Genomic DNA, 20,164 nt, shown 5'->3' on the forward strand with positions numbered 1-20,164 from the left:
ACAAATTTCTCACCTTTTCTGAGTCTTATTTATTTATTTTTTTTGTAGGTACATAGTAGCTGTATATATTTATGAGATACATGAGATGTTTTGATAGAATTCTTGCAATGTGACATAATGAGTCTTATTTTCCTAATGTACAAAATGGGGCATCATAGTATCTTCTCTCTCTACTTTCTAGGATTGTTGAAGGCTAACAAATTTCATCTTTGTGTATCCCCAACCTTCACATTCTGCATGCTTTCTGTCTCTAAAAGTAATTACCATTGTTAAGCATGTATTTGTGTTTTCTCAAATTACTAACTTCTGATGGAATAGATAGTCTTTTAAAAATTCAGTGGAAGAATTCTAGCTGGGCTTTGGAATTCTAGTCTTCTCTAAGAGAGCACTTTATATGTAAAGGCAAACAGCAACTCCACAACAGTACACTAGTAACAGTAATGATTAGGATAATTATTTCTCTGGAGAAACACCACTGTCTTCTGTGACTTTATGCTTGCAAGTTCAATCAGATGAAACAATTCCATAATAGTTTAAATCCCAGAACTACCTTTACTCAGAATCTGAGTAACAGTTTCTGAATACTCTAGAAATCAAATGTTATAGCCACTTGGCTGCATTGTTGGGTAAATCAAAAGATAAGGCCTGTAATAGCCTGAGTTCTTGAAGGGTTCACACTCAGTGAGTTGCGTGGTATTCTAGCACATGGGGTATGCATGGAAATTTACATAATGTGGCTTGGAGGAAAATAATTCTTGTTAGATTTTAGTTTGGCTGAATGGGAAATAGCCAACTTTATTGTCTTATCTCCCTTTAAAAAACAAACAAAAAAAATTTCTTTAATGTTTATGTTATACATGAATACAATCTCACTAAAAAAATAAGTTCTATGGATAAAGTTTATGTCTCCTTAATCACTACTCCCCTTCTTAAAGGTGACTACTATTACCAGTTCACTGTGCATCCTTCCAGAACTCTTTTCTCTGAATTTCTTAGCACATATGTGTGCTATAGAGCTATATAGTTTCACAAGTGTGTATTTGTACATAAATAATACAAATTATTCTATGACTAGCTTTTTACTCTACAGTGTGTATTAAGGGGGAATTCCATGCCAGTTTGCAGATAGCCACCTCATTCTTTGTAACTGTTGTATACCACTCTGTAGCATGAATGTGCTACTTTTTTTTTTTTTTTTTTTTAAGACAAGGTCTCCCTCTGTCACCCAGGCTGGAGTGCAGTGGCGCGACCTAGGCTCACTGCAACCTCCGCCTCCTGAGTTCAAGCAGTTCTTCTGCTTTAGCCTCCCCAGTAGCTAGGATTATAGACACCATGCCACCACAGCCTGGCTAATTTTTGTATTTTTAGTAGAGATGGGTTTCATCATGTTGGTCAGGCTGGAATGTGCTACCTTTTGTTTAACCACCTTCCTACTGAGTTACAAGTGAGTCATTTCAAATATTTTGCTCTTATAGATACTGTTGCAATGAATATATTTGTTCATACCTTCTTAGGTACATGTGTAGATATGAAAAAAGTAATTACTGATCTTAGGATATACACATTAAAAGCTATAACCCTAACAAATTACCTTTCCACATGCCTGTCCCAGTTTATTCCCTCATCAGCAGTGCATCATGGAACCCATTTCCCTGTACTTTCACCAAGATTTGATAGCAAATATTTCATTTTTGCTTAATGAGAACAAAATGTTATCTTATTGTGGCTTTTATTTGTATTTATTAGATTAGTAGAAATATATATTACCTTTTCATGAGTGTATTGCTTATGTGTATTTTTCTTCAATAAACTACCTGTCAATATATACATAAGTCTTCTCTAGACTTTATTCTTTGAATCTATTTGCATTTTCCTGCATAGATGCCACATTTGCTTAATTACTCTAGCTTTTTAATATGCTTTAATATCTTGGGAAGGGGACTTTTTTCCATCTGTATAGACCATTTTACTTGCAAATTACTTACACAAGGAAATATCTAATCTCACATTACACTTGTCACCAAATGATAGACACTAATCTCCATTTCTTAGAAATGAGGAAATAAAACCACAAAATGTACAAAGTCAGATCTAAAACCCCTACCTTTGGGTCCAGACTTTTCTTCTAAAGTTCTGCAGTTATACCCAGATGCCACAGAAACATAGGATCTTAGAGGAGAAGTAACTTAGGTAAGATTATCTAATCTAAACTCCTCCTTTTACAGATGAGTAAATTAAGGTGTGGGAAAGCTAAGTACCTAAAACCTAGCATTAGAACACAGATCTTCTGGTTTTTGGTCAGTTAGGTTTCTATAATGGCAGTATTTCATTAACAAATTCTAGTGGGTTTTTTTCCCTATCACTGTCCTGAAAGAGGAAAAAAATTTAGAACCATTGTCAGACCTTTAGTTTTTTTCAGTTTTTTAATTATGAAATAAAGGGAAATAAATTGTTAAAGTTGAGACTGGGCACATACGAGTTCAAACTCAAGAGTCTTTTATATGTTTATACCAACTCTGTGGGAGAGACAGGGGGAATAAAAGCATTCTCAGTTACAATAATGAATATATTCTGTTTATCCACTGCCCACCTCCTGGATGTCTCAAGCATTTCATGGATGGTGCTGCATCTGTAAGCGAGGATGGACAAATGTGTCCAGAACAAGCAGTTGTAACTATTGTGAGGCCCCATCTGGAACAGAAGGTGATTCAATCTCTTCCTTTGATTGGAATCTTTCATACTTTATTTTTCAGCATTCTGAGCTAGGAAACATGTGAATACTGAATTTCAACAGCTATCTCATTTCACCTGATAGTACTTTTCTTTGCCTAGGCAAAGGAACAGAACAGTTTAACCTGCATCACAAACTTCAAAAGAGTTGTAGCTACTCCTGGAAAGAGAGAGATAGGAGGCTGCCCATGCTTCAACATCCTCTGGATTTTGAGCCAGAATGAAAACAAGAAGAAAACAACACTTGAAGTTCTGACTTAGTCTGGGCCCACAGTCTCAGATCCTTTGAGTTACACAGCAGGAAGGAAAGAGTCCCCTATGGGGTCATGAACCACATCGTCTGATTGAATAATTGGTGCTTATTTCTGGGTCCTCAACTTGGCCATCTAACAGCTTGCATGTGCTCCATTTATAGTCCTCAGGCAAATTCTTTAAGCTTTTGGGTTGCATTTTTCATTTCCATTGGTTATAAATAATAGGTCAGGACAGATGTCTTTAATAGCCTAAGATCTAAAACATATGTTTGTGCAATGAGACCACAGAGGTAGAACTATAGAACCTGAAGCCAATTTTATTTTTAGAAGAGACTTTAGTTGTCTGTTCAACATATTTATTTTAAACGTAATTTTTGTTCATCCAATATGTCATGCTGTTAAGAAACATACCAGATAAGAAGGCCAACCTCCTGCCCTCCAGGAGTACATAATATCATTCCTCAATGCTCGTTCTTCATGCTCAAAGAGTACCAGATTGAAGAACTGGAGGTCCCAAAAAAGGTAATAGGAGTAAGGTGAAGTTGAAGGGGAGCACACTTTCCCTTCAGTCAGTCTCAAGCCAGTGAAAAATCCCTACCAATTTTCTTCAGGCCCTTCAGCAGGAATGTAGAATAGCTGTATGGACCTCTCAACTATACATGATAGCTTTGGTCTAATTTATAAAAATGTTCCTTTGTTCCCTCTGAGACTGCAGTTCTCCTATCTGCACACACACTTTCCTGACTCTGCAGCAGAAACTTAGTTACGAGACCCATTTCTTAGGTCACCCTGTCTTCCTCTTTGGGTGAAGAAGTTTCCTTCTTCTCAGATATTCCTCCAGTGAATTTTATGTCATTCTTCACTAATTTTGCAGACACTTTCCTGCTCCTTCTGGAGATTTCTGGTCCTAGAACAACTCCACTACTATGTCTCCTTCCTCTTCTTCTTCTTCTTCTTCTTCTTCTTCTTTCTTCTTTCTTCTTCTTCTTCTTCTTCTTCTTCTTCTCCTTCTCCTTCTCCTTCTCCTTCTCCTTCTCCTTCTCCTTCTCCTTCTTCTTCTTCTTCTTCTTCTTTTCTTCCTCTTGTTCTTTCTTCCCCTTTTCTACTTTCTACAAAAATAAGATGTAAGAGATAATGATGTTGTGGAACAATCTGAGTTAGGATCTTGTCTCCACCACTTAATATTGGAGTTTCAATGTTCTTGACTGTAAAATAGATTAAACGTTAACACCTACCTGCCTCAGCAGATTGATAAAATGATTAAGGTATGTGAAGCAGATGCCTCTATAAGTATTGGCTCCAGTCTCCTTTTTAAATCCCAAATTGCTTTTTATGCTATATACCATCCAACTCCGGTCTGTGGTCATCTTTCTTACTTTTAAAAAAAGTGTTCTTGGCTTTAATCCCTGAATTTCTCCCTGGACTAATTTTCTCTGTCCTGTGAGCATTGCCTTCAGTTGGCCGAGCCAGCTTTGTCTCCAGTGATGTTCAGCTTTCTCCACCACTACTCGCACCACTAGGTTGTTGTAAACTGTAGATCATAGGACCATCTTCTAAGACATCCCCATCATATACCTCCTACAGGTCCTGTGATATGTTGATTAGTTGCTTCTTTATTGTGATGGGTAAAAAGGGAACCCTGATTTGCAGTGTGGTGTAAGTATTCTTACTATGTCCTACTTCCAGCTACCAATGGTTTAATGATCAGCTTACAAATATCCTGAATATTTAATAATAAATCTTTCAACCTATCAAGAGCTAGCTCCAGCATACAGCTGGCAGAGGTTCCAGCTAAATGTTCCTCTTGGTTCAAAGGGATCTCCTTATAACTCTGTAACTATCAAATTTCACAGGACCTTCTACTATGTCTTGCCTCCACCCTTAGTTTGTAGCCCATTTGCAGTGCTGAAATGATTGATATACGATTGAACTCAGCAAATTCCTCAGCTTTTCCTGGACTAGAACGCCTCTCACATCAGACGGTAAACCATTGTCTCTGCCCCGAAGAATTTAGTTATTGGAACGGATTTTCTTTCTTTTCTTCTTTTCATCTTAAATGTGATGTTATTTATTTAAACCCAAAGAGACACATGCTGTAGGCTCTTTGTGTCCCCCTAAAATTCATGTGTTGAAATCCTAACCTCCATTGTGATAGTATTAGGAGGTAGTGCCTTTGGGAGGTGACTAGGTTATGAAAGCAGAGTCTCTTATAAAAGAGACTCTGTAGAGCCCCATTGCCCCTTCTCCTGGAGAGGACACAGCAAGAAGATGGCTGCTCATGAACCAGGAAGCAAGCCCTCAGACACTGAACCTGCTGGATTCTTGCTCTTGGGCTTCCCAGCCCTCAGAACTGTGAGAAATAAGTTTCTGTTGTTTATAGCCACACAGTTTATGGTATTCTGTTATAGCAGTTATAGCAGCCCAAACAGACTAAGACAGGCATATATACAAATAATTTTACTTACAGCCAAGAAAGAGAACCCTGTCAAATTTCTCTCCATTTCTCAGTTGATCTTGTGAGAGCAGCAGCAGAATGAGAAGAAACTGAGTTAAACTCATGAGATTAAACAAGAAAAAGACTAAGACTTGTCCTAAAGCATGCAAAACAATGATCTTTATCTTTTAAGCATCATTGTCTAAAACTGCATGATGAAACACAATTCTAGATGAAAAGAATCTAATACTTTAAAATACTTTAAAAACTTTCCGAGCAGCCAAATGATGCTCAAAAAGAGCAAATCTTCTTAATTTTCTAATTTCTCATTTTATTCTGACAATTTTTGGAAGAGGATCAGAAAGTATCTTTCAATAAAGAAATTCCAAATTGGCCTTAGTTAAAAAAAATTCTTGACTCTTTTTGTGACACATTTGAATTTCTGGGTTTTGTTTAATCATTATAATTTAATGGATTCAACAAAGCTTTTGGGCTTCAAATCAAGTGATTATGATAACCTCCTTTGTGTCTATATATCCCAGAGTCACATGGGTAGTGGATCCATTTGAATCCACTACCTTTGTGAAATGAACTAGATAATTCACAAATTTCTCTTTTGCTTTGGCTTAAGTCTGCCAGCTTCCAGTGATCCTCTCCTCCTGGTGTTCATGCCCCAATGTAATTCTTTTCTACACTGATTAGGAATGACTTGTGTTACCAGTAGAATACTGTACAGAAATAGAAATGGCGTGTTTTTTGTTGTTGTTGTTGTTGTTGTTGTTGTTTTTTTTGAGATAGTGTCTCACTTTGTCACCCAGGCTGGAGTGCAGTGGCACAATCTCGGCTCACTGCAGCCTCTGCCTCCTGGGCTCAAGCGATCTTCCCACCTCAGCCTCCTGAGTAGCCAGGCCTATAGGCATGCACCACCATGCCCGGATAATTTTTCTTTTTTAATTTTTATAGAGATGAGGTCTCACTATATTGCCCAGGCTGGTTTCAAACTCTTGGGCTCAAGCAATCCTCCTGGCTCAGCCTCCCAAAGTGCTGGGATTATAGGCATAAGCCACTGCACCTGGTTGAAATGTCATTTAAAAAAACATTGCAGCTTCTACTTTCCTCTCTCTTGGATCACTGACAGCTTCCACATCATGAGAGCCCCATGAGAGCATTCAAACAGCCCTATGGAGAGGTCTATGTGGCAAGGAACAGAAGTTTCTGCCAACCCTAGTCATCTACAGTCAGCACATGAATAAGCCGTCTTTGAAGTGAATCCTGAAACCCAAATCGAGCTTTCAGATGACTGCAGCCCCAGCTGACATTTTGACTGCCGTGTCATGAGAGCTCGAACCAGAACCAAACAGCTAAGCTGTCACTGAATTCCTGACCCATAGAACCTGTGTGAAATAATGCGTACTTTTATTTTAAGCTGCTAAATTTTTAGTTAATTTGTTATGCAGCAATATAAAACTAATACATTTAGGTAGAAATTTAAAACCCAATATTAAGCGAGCCAGTGTTTTATAAGCCTCTCAGGGTCTGTAGGTGCAAAAAGATTCCACTTTAATCATTGTGATAGACAATAGTGAGTTTTTAAGACCCTCTTGGCCTTTGAACTCCCCTTCACTGTTTATGAATTCTCTACCTTCTGGGTCTTGGTGAGAGGCTGAGCATTTTCTTTCATCCTGGACCCAGAAAAGGCAAGATGTGCACTTGCCAGCCTAGGATCTTGAATCAAGCAAGAGCTAGTGATGCAAACAGGTGGACAATGAGAGGTGGAGCAGTGTCCAATGCCCAGTGGCCATAGTGACAGTAGAGTAAGCTACAACCACGGAGATTCCATGAGCTACCTTATATTCCTTAATAAATGTGTTTTGTGCTTAAATCAGCATCTTCTGTGTGCATACTACATCATGATGGGTGCAATCGAAGTCACAATAGAAGAATCAAACACATCAAACGACTGTTGTCAACAGTAACTACCTAAGAGAGAGGATGACCTCATTCTGGCCAATTGAATCTGTCTTCAAAAGCACAAGTTAATTGACAGGAAGAAGCTGAATCGCAATATGGAAAAATAAAGGTTAAAAGGCACCATCTCTAAGAGAAACCATTAGAGATAAGCATCAGTACACCTAGAGTCTGAGATCCTCATGCACTGGTGATTTAAGAATGAAATGTTTTACAAAGTCCAAGTTATTTTCCTTCAGTAGCTTTACATTTAAATTTGTATTAACTTACCAAAAATAATTTCAAACCTTTTATGAGCTTCAAGAACAGCAGGCAACAAGATATGAAAAACAAATTAATTTTAAGTGAATACTAGTTAGAGCAATGACACTTAGGAAATAAAATTTAACTTGCACACAATTTAACACGCTTGGAATTGAAACCAGCTATAAAAGTCTGAGATGGTCATAAATATCAGATTTTTATATCGTTTTCCCAAATAATTAAGAAGGCATAGCCATGACAGAACTTGAATTTAATGTTTCATCTTTCTCCTCATATGCCTTTGATTAATTTTTGAGTTACAAAATTCTCATAAATTTTGATATTTAGGCTGCTAAACAGATCTGTAGGCAGGCCAGAGAAATACTACAGGAAGAAGAAACAAAAGGGCAGAATCACAGCTTTTTGCAAACAGTATTTGGCCAGCTGCATCCCAGCCTCATTTGGATCTACTCTTAATAGCCTGTCAGCTCTAACCTCAGTCCCTCTCCATGGCCTTAGCAACCCCTGCAACTGTTACTCTACCTTTTGGCAAGAAAGTATGTTGGATTGTTTTACTTTTCATTTTTTGGAAATATTTATTCTTAATAACACAGAATGCATGAATACATTCTTGGTACAAAATTCAAACATTACAGAGCAAGCCCCTCTTCACCACCACCCACTGTCAATGCTTGCAACCTTCCAGACATTTTTCCAGGTTCATATTAAACTACATACATACAGGTGTAAAAGCCTGGCCTCAACTCTGATTTGTAAGAAAAATTATTAATATTTAGAGGATGTATTCTAGCTTCATGAAAAAATTACTCCTAGTCCATCAACCCCTTCTATTCTCCCTTCCATCATGGTTGCATCTAAACTTGGTAATGGTTAGAAAAGTATCTGGTCCTCTAAATCATCTGCGCCATAGGCATTTAGGAAGAAAACTCTTGTTCCCATCTTTTCAGCTGTTTAGAACTGGAGACTACCTTTGCCACATTAAGGCTGGAAGATTAAAAATCAGTCTTCTATCTGTAGTGCTATTATAGCAAGAGAATTCCTGCAGTGCCATCCAGGTTCTTAGCTGCTAAAACTCCCTTTGGGGTCTTTCACCTTCTGGGTACTGCCTGGGAGAGATAGCTTCACTCAAAGGAATCCACAGTCCCATTGCTTGCTCCATTTGTCCTGTCCTCTCAGTTCAAAGAATTTTTGTTTTGTTTTGCTTTTTAGGCTCGGGGGTAGGATGGGAGAGAAGACTCAGAAATCCCTCTGTTCCCCTAAAGCTTGGATGCTTTTAAAAAGCAGAGGTAGGAAGAGACATGTAGGTGATATTTCCACCTTTTGTCCACTTACATCTTTCTGCTGAGGTAATGCGTCTAGAATAGCCACGTTAGAAACAGGAGGGAACGAGGAGACAGTGAAATTATTAGGATAATATTACAAAAAGAAATCATTTTGTACTTATTCTACATGAATTATATCATCCTATATGAATTATTCTGTAAACTTCTTTTTCTTCTTATCAATATGCCTTGGTGAGTTTTCTATGTTGTTATATGTAGTTCAACATTATTCATTCAATAACAATTTATTGAGTCCCTATAGTACACCAGGCAATATCTACTGGGGGCTCCCTATATGCCACTGGAGAAACGGGCTACATCTCTATTCTCATCAGTCTTACGTTTTAGAGAGGGAGAAAGATAATAGCCAAATAAGCATGTGCATAACTAATATAATAACATGAAGTGATATGTGCTATGAAGACAAAGAAAGTGGGTGAAAGGATATAGGCAGGAGTGGCATTTCAGTCAGAGAAGGCCACTCTGCTGAGGCAAAATCATTGCTTTTCACTGTTTCATAGCATCACATTTCCCTAAAAAAGGATAGTAAGGTTTATTTCCCATTTTTTTTGGCTATTACAAGTCATGTTGTAATATTTACCTCCTCGTGCACACAAATAGTAGTACTTTGAGTAGACACTGAAAAGTGGAATTACTAGGTCATATTGGCAAACTGCTCTCTGAAATGGATGTGTTAACTTGCACTCCCATCAGAAACTGCATGTTCCCTACACCTCTTTTAATAGTTAATACTATCAAAATTATTAATTTTACCAATGTGATATATGAAAAAATGATATCTCAGCTATTTTTAATTAGCACTTCTCTTATTACTCTTTAGTTTGAATATCACTTCATACGTTTATTAAACATTCATTTTTCCTATCTTGTAAAATGACATTTTATTTCCTTTGCCCATGTGTTTATGGGATTTTCTGTCTTTTTCTTTGGATTTGTTGGCATTCACGTATTCAATTTGTCTTACATATGTTGCAAATATTGTATCTAATTCTTTGTCATATAGAACTTTATTTATTCATGTGCTGAATGTATCCATGTATCCCTTTAGTGGTCATATATTTCTCAGTTCTTGAGTTTTTAAATTCAAATTCAGTGTATGTTTGTTAAGTATTCCCTATATATAAGACATCGTGCTAGGCAGTTTGAAAGACAGCAAAGTAAATGAGATATGTTGTCTGCCCTCATGAATCTCACAACTTAGTGGTGGAGACACATGAAAACAAATACCTGTAAAGCCTAGGGCCTTGATCATCCAGAAAATACCATAAAAAGAATTGCTATGGTAGAGCAATGCCTAAGTCAGAACCAGGCACCGAGGAATTTTTCACAGATGCAGTAGCTCTGAAGAGAAAACAGCCTTTTGTAAGATACGGGTGAGGGTAAAGACCTTCATCTTAGAAGAAACAGCACAAGCCAAGGCAGAATATGCAGTAAGGAAAGGATAGAGAGAAATTTCTAAGAAAGCTGGACAGTGGGTGTGTGGTTAGGAATAAAAGGAGTGTGGCAGAGAATAGACTGAAAAGGTAGGATGCAACTATTTAATCTTTTACCCATTAATAAGAAATACTGATAAATTCCACACTTCCTAGTCTTTTTGAAAAGTAGTCATTAAAGAAAAGAACAATTAACTGTGAGAAGTTAAGCACAAAGCTGGAGTGATTGGGTGAACACAGATAGCCTTGCTCTAGTGTTCGATGGCAGCTGAAGATGGATTGTCACACAGCCTGTGTGTATGTGTGTGCACTACCGGTGGATCTGCTGGTTTCGACCTGGCCAGAGCCCTTGCCCAAGAACAGCTGCAATTTGCAAGTCTTCTTAAATCTGTTTTACCATCCTGCAGAGGTAAGAGTTGGATAATTTATGCCCTATGACTTCACAGTCCTCTGGGGAGGCTGCCAAGGAAAGCATGTTTTGGATAGAAATCTTAAAAAAAAGCAAAAAAAAAAAAAAAAAAAAAAAAAGTAAAAACCTAAGCCCAGTTTGGCATAGGGCTAAGGTTTCACATCCAACTCCTCCCTAGGATCTGCCATTTAATCATCCTCCAGGATGCAAGGGCTGCCATGGGTTACTGGGGATAGCGATTAGGCACCCTTGGGCTGCATCAGCAAACACCCTCTCCTGATAGGCAGTTGGAAAGTAATGGGATTTGGGTTTTAGTTGTGAGAGAATGATGGAAAATGTTACAAACAGCTGACCTCCTTTGCCCCTACTGAAATAGCAGCCTTCCTCTGCACATTTATATGTTGCTTTGGGGAGAGTGACAAAAGACAGATGCTTCTTGCTGGAATGCCAGTTGCTTAATCATTCTTTCTGGTCCCAAGACATTTACTGTAGCTTCTTGGAGCTGACATCTTGGGCCACTCCTTGGTTTTCAATGTCTTGTAAATTGTGTTGCAATTTTCCATTACATGGAATATGGGAAAGTTTGTGGGAGAGTTTTTTTGAAGGTGTTATGTCGCAGATGGTGTCCTCAGCAAAAAGCCTTAAAGTTGGGAGTGCAGGAATTGCAAATAAACTGTAAGCTCTGCAGTGAGACACACACACAAAAGACCTGGTCTGGCTCCTGTCTCCCACACGGCTTCACTCAGGTCCGCGGAAGTGTTTATGTCCATTCCAAGGCTCGGCAGTAACATCTGAGATTAATCTTCTCAACAGCATGACCTGACCACGCAGTGCCCACGACAGAGGAGACCTGCTTCCTCTCCAGGTTCTGTGGCCTCACAGCACCCAGGAAGCAGCATGGTAGATAAAATGTCCTTCAGAAGTATAGTAAACTCTCATCTTAGCCACAGACTGCCCTCCTCAGCAGGTCTCTTGCTGTCTGTTTTCAGAAAGATAACATTAAGGAGAAACTGAAAAGTTTTGATGTAGTCAGGCATTTTTATTATGTTAAGAAACAAGAGTAAACGATTAGTCTCATAATCACATACAACCTGTTTCCCAGGAGGATGGCATGCTTAGGAACAGGCAAATCATGACAGTGATTTGGAAAGATATTCATATTGTTTTCCCTTAAAAGTCATAACATTTGGTTGAACTTCACGATTCCTCTTGTTTTAGTGTTATCTTGTTAAATTTACTTTTTCTGAATGTGAGCCTGTGAATGTTTTTTGTCACCCTCCTGTCATATTTACAAATTCTCTTGATTAGCCCCATGACCTCCTTCCCCTGTGCAGAGATGCTTATTTCTTTCCTCCCTGGTGACTATTATACTCTGAAGAGCTCCCTCCTCAACATGTGGGAGCTTCAAACTGAAGAAGTCACAACTAAAAATGTTTTATCTGTGTGTTGGCCCCCCATGTCTTAAGGAGAAGAGACATTCTAGGGAGGAACACACCAATGTGTGCATGAGGAGCATTTGGAAACAGGTAGGATGGATAATAAGACTTTGGGTTTCTATGACACTTTTCACAAGGACATTTAGAAATGTATAAAGATTATTCCCCAAGCCCTCTCTTCAACTGGGTTAAGAGCAAGAATAATTTTCATGTTTTATCAAGAAAAACCAGAATAAGGAGAATTGTCTCTACTCTGCCAGCTTTACCCAGCTCAGAAACCAAGTCCCACCCTTCTGAGATTAGAGACATCGTCTGTCAGACTCACTGCCTCTCCCCAGCCTCTCTTTGGTTCTCTACTTTGTATAAACCAATGTTCTTGGCTCCTTATTTAATCTTAAAATCAATGTTGGGTGAATCAGTCAGAATATTTGGACATTCTGTTCAGAAAACATTGTAAATTGATCAAGATTTGCTTGTCCTGCAAAACTCTCCTGGCATTCTTAATAGCAGTCTTCTGTCCTCAGATGACCTCATGAAATGTAGAGTTTGTGTGAGGAGATGATATGGACAATTTCCCCATTGCCCTGAAAGAGACACACCCTGTTACACTACTTTGCCTTCATCCATGCTGTCCTCTCTTCCCAGCATGCCTTTCTTCCCTGCCTGCGTCCACCTTCAATGTTCTTATGTGCCTTCTAAAATTAAGTTTGACTACTATCATCCCCCTCATCAAGGCTTCACACACATACTTCATTTCTCCTTCTTAACAAAGCCCCAATTTTGTTCAAGTCCCACTCACTCCTCTCCCACAAGATGTGTGTCTGAAGAAAGGTGTTGATCTTAGTCCCATCTGCATGAAAGGACTAATCAACATAAGCAAAATCTCAGTCCCTTTGCCAGGGATTGGCTAAAGAATTGTCATACAGTCTTGGCCAATCAGACAGGAGGGAAAGCTTGTGAAGGGCTCTCAGTCCTCATTAGTAAGATGGGGACCAAGAAAGAGATGGTCAGCCCTCTTCCCCTAGTTGTGCCATGTCTGACTGTGGCCTTAGGGTGGCTGCCTTCCTCTCAGCAACAAGCCAAGTAGGCCAGCTGGCTTCTTAGTAACACTCCATGTTCACTTAACTCTGAGAGTCTCAGTTTCCTCTTTTTCAAAATGAGGAAGTTGACCTCAATTATCCGTAGCTTCCTTTTAACTTTAGAATACCACACATGCCTCTAAAAGATGATGGGGGAGGAGATATGGAGGAGGATCTAGGAAGTGAAGAAGGCCACTTAATTTCATCTGTAGCTCTAACCATCTGCTGCTATTAACATGAGCAAGCAGCTATTTGCATTTTATGACTGGGTGATCTCAACTCTCTAGTTTAAGAAACAAGTACTAATCTTGGTTTAACCACTAAAATATCCTCACATTTCCCCATTCCCCGAAGTGAATCTATTAATATCCCTTTATCTTGTTTGGTAAACAAAATGTTTTTTACTAACATTAAATGAAAAGGGTAGTACAATTCAAGTTTAGGAACCAAAAAGATTTTTTTCCCCTTAATTTCAAGTTAAACCATTTTATTCTCCTTCTGTAATTGTTCCAAAACCACCCAAGAAGACCTAAAGAATTTGTAAATGGAGAAGTATGGAAAAAAATTTTTTTTAATGCAGGATTACATTGCTTAAGGTTAGTAGGTCTTAGCTTGCTTCGAAATGTTAAGAGACTTAAGTTGAAGCACCATCTAGTGGCTCTCAATTGTGTTCTGCTAAAAATTGCTCCCAGTCTCCCTGTATTTAGGACCACAGTTAATTTGTTGGGCATGTATATCATTGACCCTGGAACAGCAAGTTGAAAGTGCACAGATCTACTTATATGTGGATTTCTTCCACTTCTGCGTCCCCTGAGACAGCAAAACCAACCTCTCTACTTCCTCCTCCTCTTCAGTCTACTCAATGTGAAGACAACAAGGATGAAGACCTTTATGATGATTTACTTCCGCTTAATAAATAGTACATACATTTTCTCTTCCTAATGATTTTCTTAATATTTTCTTTTCTCTAGCTTTCTTTATTGTAAGAATACAGTAAACAATACATATAACGTACAAACTATATATAAATCACTGTTTATGTTATCAGTAAGGCTTCTGGTCAACAGTAGGCTATTAGTAGTTAACGTTTTGGGGGAGTCAAAAGTTATATGCAAGTTTTCCACTGCATGGGGAGTTAGCACCCTTAACCCCCATGTTGTTCAAAGGTCAGCTCTATATGAACACATGAGAGGGTTCAGAAAAAAAAAGTGGAGTTTTTTTTATCTTTATATAGCAGTGGGAGGATGGGGGTAGTAGCTGTAGCTTTTTACTCTTTCAATCTAATCATGGCAGTGAGAATGGGATAAAGAAATTACGTGAATTCACATAAATCTCTTCTAGAAACAATAAAGTTCATCCAGTGGAAAAAAGAATTAATACAAATTTAATACAAATAAAATTTCATAGATTTCAGTTCTCCTGTTTCTCCTACTCACATTCTCTCTAAAAGCCCATAACGGTATCTTTATCTTCCTTCTGAATCCCATAATGTAGACATGTTCTCACACATCTAGGGATTGGCTATTAGATCATTTTTATGTATCTCCAAGTTCTCAAGCCCCTTCCCACAACAAGCCCAGAGCATCCCTTGCATTTATATAACCAACAATTTTTCTTGAACTGTCATAGAGATAACATTCATATCTATGATTCCTATCTTCTGAAGTTACATCTTTTCATTACCTCTATGGGCAGAATGAAAATAGACCATAACAATTGCACATGAGTAGGAACATCTGTTTCATTGTCACTAGGGGAAGAACAAAAATTGGACATGAAAATGGATATGAGTAGAAAATAATTTGTAGCAAGATTGACACAAACCTTCAGATTAACAAACTAGGTATTTGTATCAATTAGTATTAAGTTTAGCTGCGTGTAGAGTAAAACCAAAAATAACACTGGCATGAACAAAATTTTATTCACTCTAACACAAAAGAAGTCAATGAATAGGTGGTTGAGGGTTTATAGGGAAACTTCATGGTCATCAAGCCCAGGATCCTTCTTCCATCTTTCTTTTCTTCTATCCTACTGAGTGGCTTCTATCCTTAACATCATCCATGGCCCAAGTTCACTGCTGGACCATCACTCATCTCACCAATGTTGCAGTCCAGAGACAAGGAGGAGAAGCAAAAGAAGACCCTTCCTTCTTCTTTAAAGAACTTTTCTGAAAGTATTACACAAGATTTGTATTTATATCTCATTTTCCAGAGCTTATGCAAGTGGGCATACTCAGCAAAGGAAACTGAGAAATGCCTTTTAGCTAAGTACATTCCAATAATAAATTAAATTGGAGTTATGCTATTAATCAATGTGTCAATTACCTAAGACACCAGGAATGCTGTATAACAAACAACCATAAAACCTCTGTGGCAACAATTGCTTATATGCCTGGGATCAAGTGGAGGTCAGGTCTTCTCATCTTGACTGAGCTTACTCATATGTTTAGGGGATGGCTGACTATTGCATCTTCTAGGTTGGCCTCAACAGAGAGGTAGGGATGGGACTGAGGGGACACAGCTCTGATCTACATGGTTCTCATCCTCCATCTGGATAGGCCAGGCATGTTCTCATGGAGTAACGAGTAGAACAGAACTTCTTGAGACCTGTGCTCAAAACAGATACATTAACACTTCCACCTCATTTTGTTGGCCAAAGCAAACTGCATAGGATGGATAAATATGTACTCTCTGTATGGAAAGAACTCTAAAGTCAACTGAAAAATTACATGGATAGACGGAGAGGTGAAGATTTAGAGTCATGGATATACTCATCTGCCACAAGGAGAAAGGGGAGGATGAGCATTGGACCAGTGATATGGCTTGGCTGTGTCCTCACCCAAATTTCATCTTGAATTGTAGCTCCCATAATTCCCATGTGTTATGGAAATCAATTCCATATTGTAGCTCCCATAATCAATTCCATAATCAATGGAAATCAATTCCAATTGTAGCTCCCATATGGGAGGGACCTGGTGAGCGGTAATTGAATCATGGGAGCAGGTCTTTCCCATGCTGTTCTCATGGTAGTGAATAAGTGTCATGAGTTCTGATGGTTTTATAAGCAGGAGTTCCCTTGCACACACTCTCTCTTTGCCTGTCACCATGTAAGACGTAGCTTTACTCCTCCTTGCCTTACACCATGATTATGAGGCCTCCCCAGCCATGTGGAACTGTGAGTCAATTAAACCTTTTCCTTTATAAATTACCCAGTCTTGGATATGACTTTATTAGCAGCATGAGAACAGACTAATACAACCAGGTAACAAGCAATCTCTGCCGCAGTGTAGTATTTTTTTAGTCTGTTATAAAATTGTATTAATGGACTGATTCCCATTCTATGCCCTGTCTTAAACATAAGGGAATTATAATAAAAAAGAAAGGCACACAACAGCTTACATCATATTATATATAGTATATATATAATTTACTAATTTAGTTATTTTTTACTTATGTTCAATTACAAAAAGGTAAGTGTTAATCTTAGTATTTGTTCTATTCTTTATTATGGGCAGAGACTGGGCTAGATGTTGCAGTGAACCTGATTCCTTTTCTTCCAAGGCAGCTAGACTACATTTTCCAACCTCTGTGGATGTTAATATAGCTATGCTACTAAGAACTAACCAATGGAATGTGAGCAGAAGTGATTACTACTCCAGGCCTGGCCCATAAACACCTCCCACATAACATCCTCTATTCTGTCTCCCTGTTTCCTATTCACCAGCTGAACTAGAAAATATTCTGAGAAGGGCAGAGCCATAAGATAAAGTGACAGCTTAAAGCAACACCTCTCTTCTCTGCCCTGCCTCAGCCCCACCAACTGCACTAGAGTGTGATGTGAGCAAGAATTAAATTTTTGTGGTGTGAATACACTGAGATGTAGGGCCTGTTTGTTTCAGCAATTAAATAACCATATGCATATAATATCATCCAATTTATGCATTCATTTTTTCCCTTAGGGCTTTGCTAAAAATAAAAGTAATAGGCCAAATCACCAGTTTGTTTTCATGCTGCTGATAAAGACATACCGAAAACTTGGAACAAAAAGAGGTTTAATTGGACTTACAGTTCCACATGGCTGGGGAGGCCCCAGAATCATGGGGGTAGGTGAAAGTCACTTTTTACATGGTGGCAGCAAGAGAAAATGAGGAAGAGCAAAAGCAGAAACCCTTGATAAACCTATCAGATCTTGAGATAAACCTATCACTATCATGAGAATAGCACGGGAAAGACCAGCCCTCATGATTCAATTACTTCCCTCTGGGTCCCTCCCACAACACGTGAGAATTCTGGGAGATACAATTCAAGTTGAGATTTTTGTGGGGACACAGCCAAAACATATCAACTTGCTACTTTAAATAAGAAAAGTCTTCTTTTAAATAAAAAATCACTTTTTACTATAGGATTACCATCTGTATCAAGTGAATATAGGATCTCAGTTTACAGTGGCCCTAGAAGATACAAGGATTTCACCAGTGTCTTACTCTTAGCATCATTAATCCATCCAACGGCTACAACCTAAAGTGTAAACAAGAAAGGGAATTGAGACATTAGAACTCTAAAAAGTAAGGGGAACTTCAGAGTCATCTTCAATGACACTGACATTTCCTTAGTTGAGATCAACTTACAATTTCTGCTAAAATGCAAATACTGCTAAAAATGACTCAGCCATTTACTCAATAATCAGTCCAAACATGCAATACTACTGCTCCACTAATTGCTAGCAAGCAAGTAATGGATGGAAGGTCAGCTACTAGCTGACTTGCAGACAGTGCTTCCAGTGGCTCCTGCCATTGCAGCATTGATTAGCAATTTGGGTGTGTAGAGGAGCCAGGAAGCTGTGAGGAAAGCACCATTTAAAGCACCCAAAGGGTGTATAAAAACTGCCCAGCATCATTATTTGCCTTTTGCTGAGCTATCTTCCTCTTTATTTTGAAAAGCAGTTGTTTCACATTTGCAAATAAAAATTTACCAAGGAAAATGGGAAAGTAGATAAAGTATCCTAGGCATTTATGATGGCAGGCACGAAGCTTTTGCATGTGTACTTACACTGTATGCTAAGAGTCTGAAACAGATCTTGGTAACTGTATTAGTCTGTCTTCACACTGCTGTAAAGAATTCCCAGAGACTGAGACCGGGTAATTTACGAAGAAAAGACTTTTAACTGACTCACAGTTCCACATGGCTTAGGAGGCCTCAAGAAACTTACAATCATGGCAGAAGGCGAAGGGGAAGCAAGGCATGTCTTACATGGCAGCAGACTGGAGAGTGAGCAGGGGAAACTGCCACTTATAAAACCATCAGCTATTGTGAGAACTCCCTAACTATCACAAGAACATCATGGGGGAAACCACTCCCATGATCCAATCACCTACACCAAGTCCCTCCCTCAACACGTGGGGATTACAATTTGAGATGAAATTTGGGTGGGGACACAGCACCAAACCATGTTAGTAACTATCACATCAAGTCGCAAAAGAAGTTAAGCTAGACTTTGAACCCAAAGGCTTATTGCAAATGGCTGCTTTTTTTGTGATGTCTCATCAAATATAAATTGACATCCAGCTCTTTCGATTTTCATTCTTTAGGAAAAAAGCCCATAAAATATATAATTAAGCAGGAATGAACACAAGCCCTTTACAAAGAAATTTGAAAGTAAACACTTGAGAAGCCCCAGAAACTTTCTCCCACCAAATTCTGAAGATGTGGACTAGGCCACTTCTCTCCTAGACTAAAACCACAATGAAGCACTTTCACAATGAAGTTCTTGCCCCAGTGCTGCAGGCACATCTGCCTGGGCTCTCAGTTGTTAATGATGCCTTCACATTAAAGAAGGGGCTGGAGGGAGAATACAACATACCAAAAAAGTGTCAAGCTTTTCCCAGTACATTGTAAACTCAAAATGTTACAATGATACTTTTTTTTTTCTACTGTGTCTTATGCTTTTCAGTCTTCAGTTCCTACCTGACATGATTTATCCTCTGGAAGAAAACAAATCCTGTGGTGACCAGAATGACCACAAAAAGAGAGAGTTTCACATAAAGAATGATCAGTAAGGACAACGCTGGAGATCCTGAGGTTCTGAGACCTTTAAATACAGACAGGGGTGAAAAATCATTTCAAGCATTCTTCTAGTTACAAATTAGAGTCAATCATTTTAAAGAACATTTTAAAATATTCTTAAGAGTTCATGGACTGTCATAATCATAAAACCTTCTAAATTATGACTCAAATGTTACTAATATACCATTCTTTCATGACAGAGTTTAGGAACCATGTTTGTGTTTTGTACATCGTAGGTTTCTGACAAATTTTCTGAACAAATAAATGCACACTACGCATTGCTAATACTTTCCAATTTTATAAGAAAAGCAATATGTCAAGCTTTCCCCTGTATATTCCAACTTCCCATGCAAATATTAGCGTTTGAAAGAACATTACTCTTAATATTTGGGGTTTGAGCTGATAACACTTTCCACACAATGAAGTGATTTTCTTACTAAGTTGATGTAACCTCTTTAGCAAGGTGTTTTATATCTTCCTACTTTCATTTTTATTTACCTGTGAAATGGCCCTAGGAATTATTGAAAAGATAAATCAAACTAATTAGGAACATCATTCTTTTTTTATTTTTATTTTTTGAGAGGGAGTCTTGCATTGTCTCTCAGGCTCTAGTGCAGCGGCGCAATCTCGGCTGACTGCAACCTCCACCTCCTGGGTTCAAGTGATTCTCCTACCTCAGCCTCCAGAGTAGCTAGGATTACAGGCATGCACCACCACGCCTGGCTAATTTTTGTATTTTTAGGAGAGATGGG

At 38.5% G+C, this 20,164-nt stretch overlaps 1 protein-coding gene and 1 long non-coding RNA gene across 5 annotated transcripts in view; one reads left to right on the forward strand and one right to left on the reverse strand.

Moving 5' to 3' along the window:
- Window positions 1–2,019: 2,019 nt before the first annotated feature.
- CD200R1L-AS1 (CD200R1L antisense RNA 1) lies at window positions 2,020–19,758 on the forward strand. 2 transcript variants are annotated; one of them, NR_149026.1, is made up of 5 exons: window positions 2,020–2,190; window positions 2,608–2,703; window positions 12,302–12,361; window positions 14,205–14,269; window positions 19,300–19,758. It is a non-coding gene; the product is annotated as a CD200R1L antisense RNA 1 (long non-coding RNA). The 2 variants fall into 2 exon arrangements; NR_149027.1 differs by lacking the exons at window positions 2,608–2,703; window positions 12,302–12,361.
- Window positions 15,253–20,164, reverse strand: part of CD200R1L (CD200 receptor 1 like) — a 31,154-nt gene continuing 26,242 nt past the window's right edge. For all 3 annotated transcript variants that reach the window (NM_001008784.4, NM_001199215.3, NM_001370552.3), the window contains 2 exons: window positions 19,314–19,437; window positions 15,253–15,517 (listed from right to left, as the gene is read on the reverse strand). In NM_001008784.4, the coding sequence (NP_001008784.2) occupies window positions 15,505–15,517; window positions 19,314–19,437 (137 nt within the window). In that variant the 3' untranslated portion in view covers window positions 15,253–15,504. The remainder of the gene's footprint in view (window positions 15,518–19,313; window positions 19,438–20,164) is intronic.

Source organism: Homo sapiens, chromosome 3 (genome assembly GCF_000001405.40).
Source record: "Homo sapiens chromosome 3, GRCh38.p14 Primary Assembly".
NCBI lineage: Eukaryota > Metazoa > Chordata > Mammalia > Primates > Hominidae > Homo > Homo sapiens.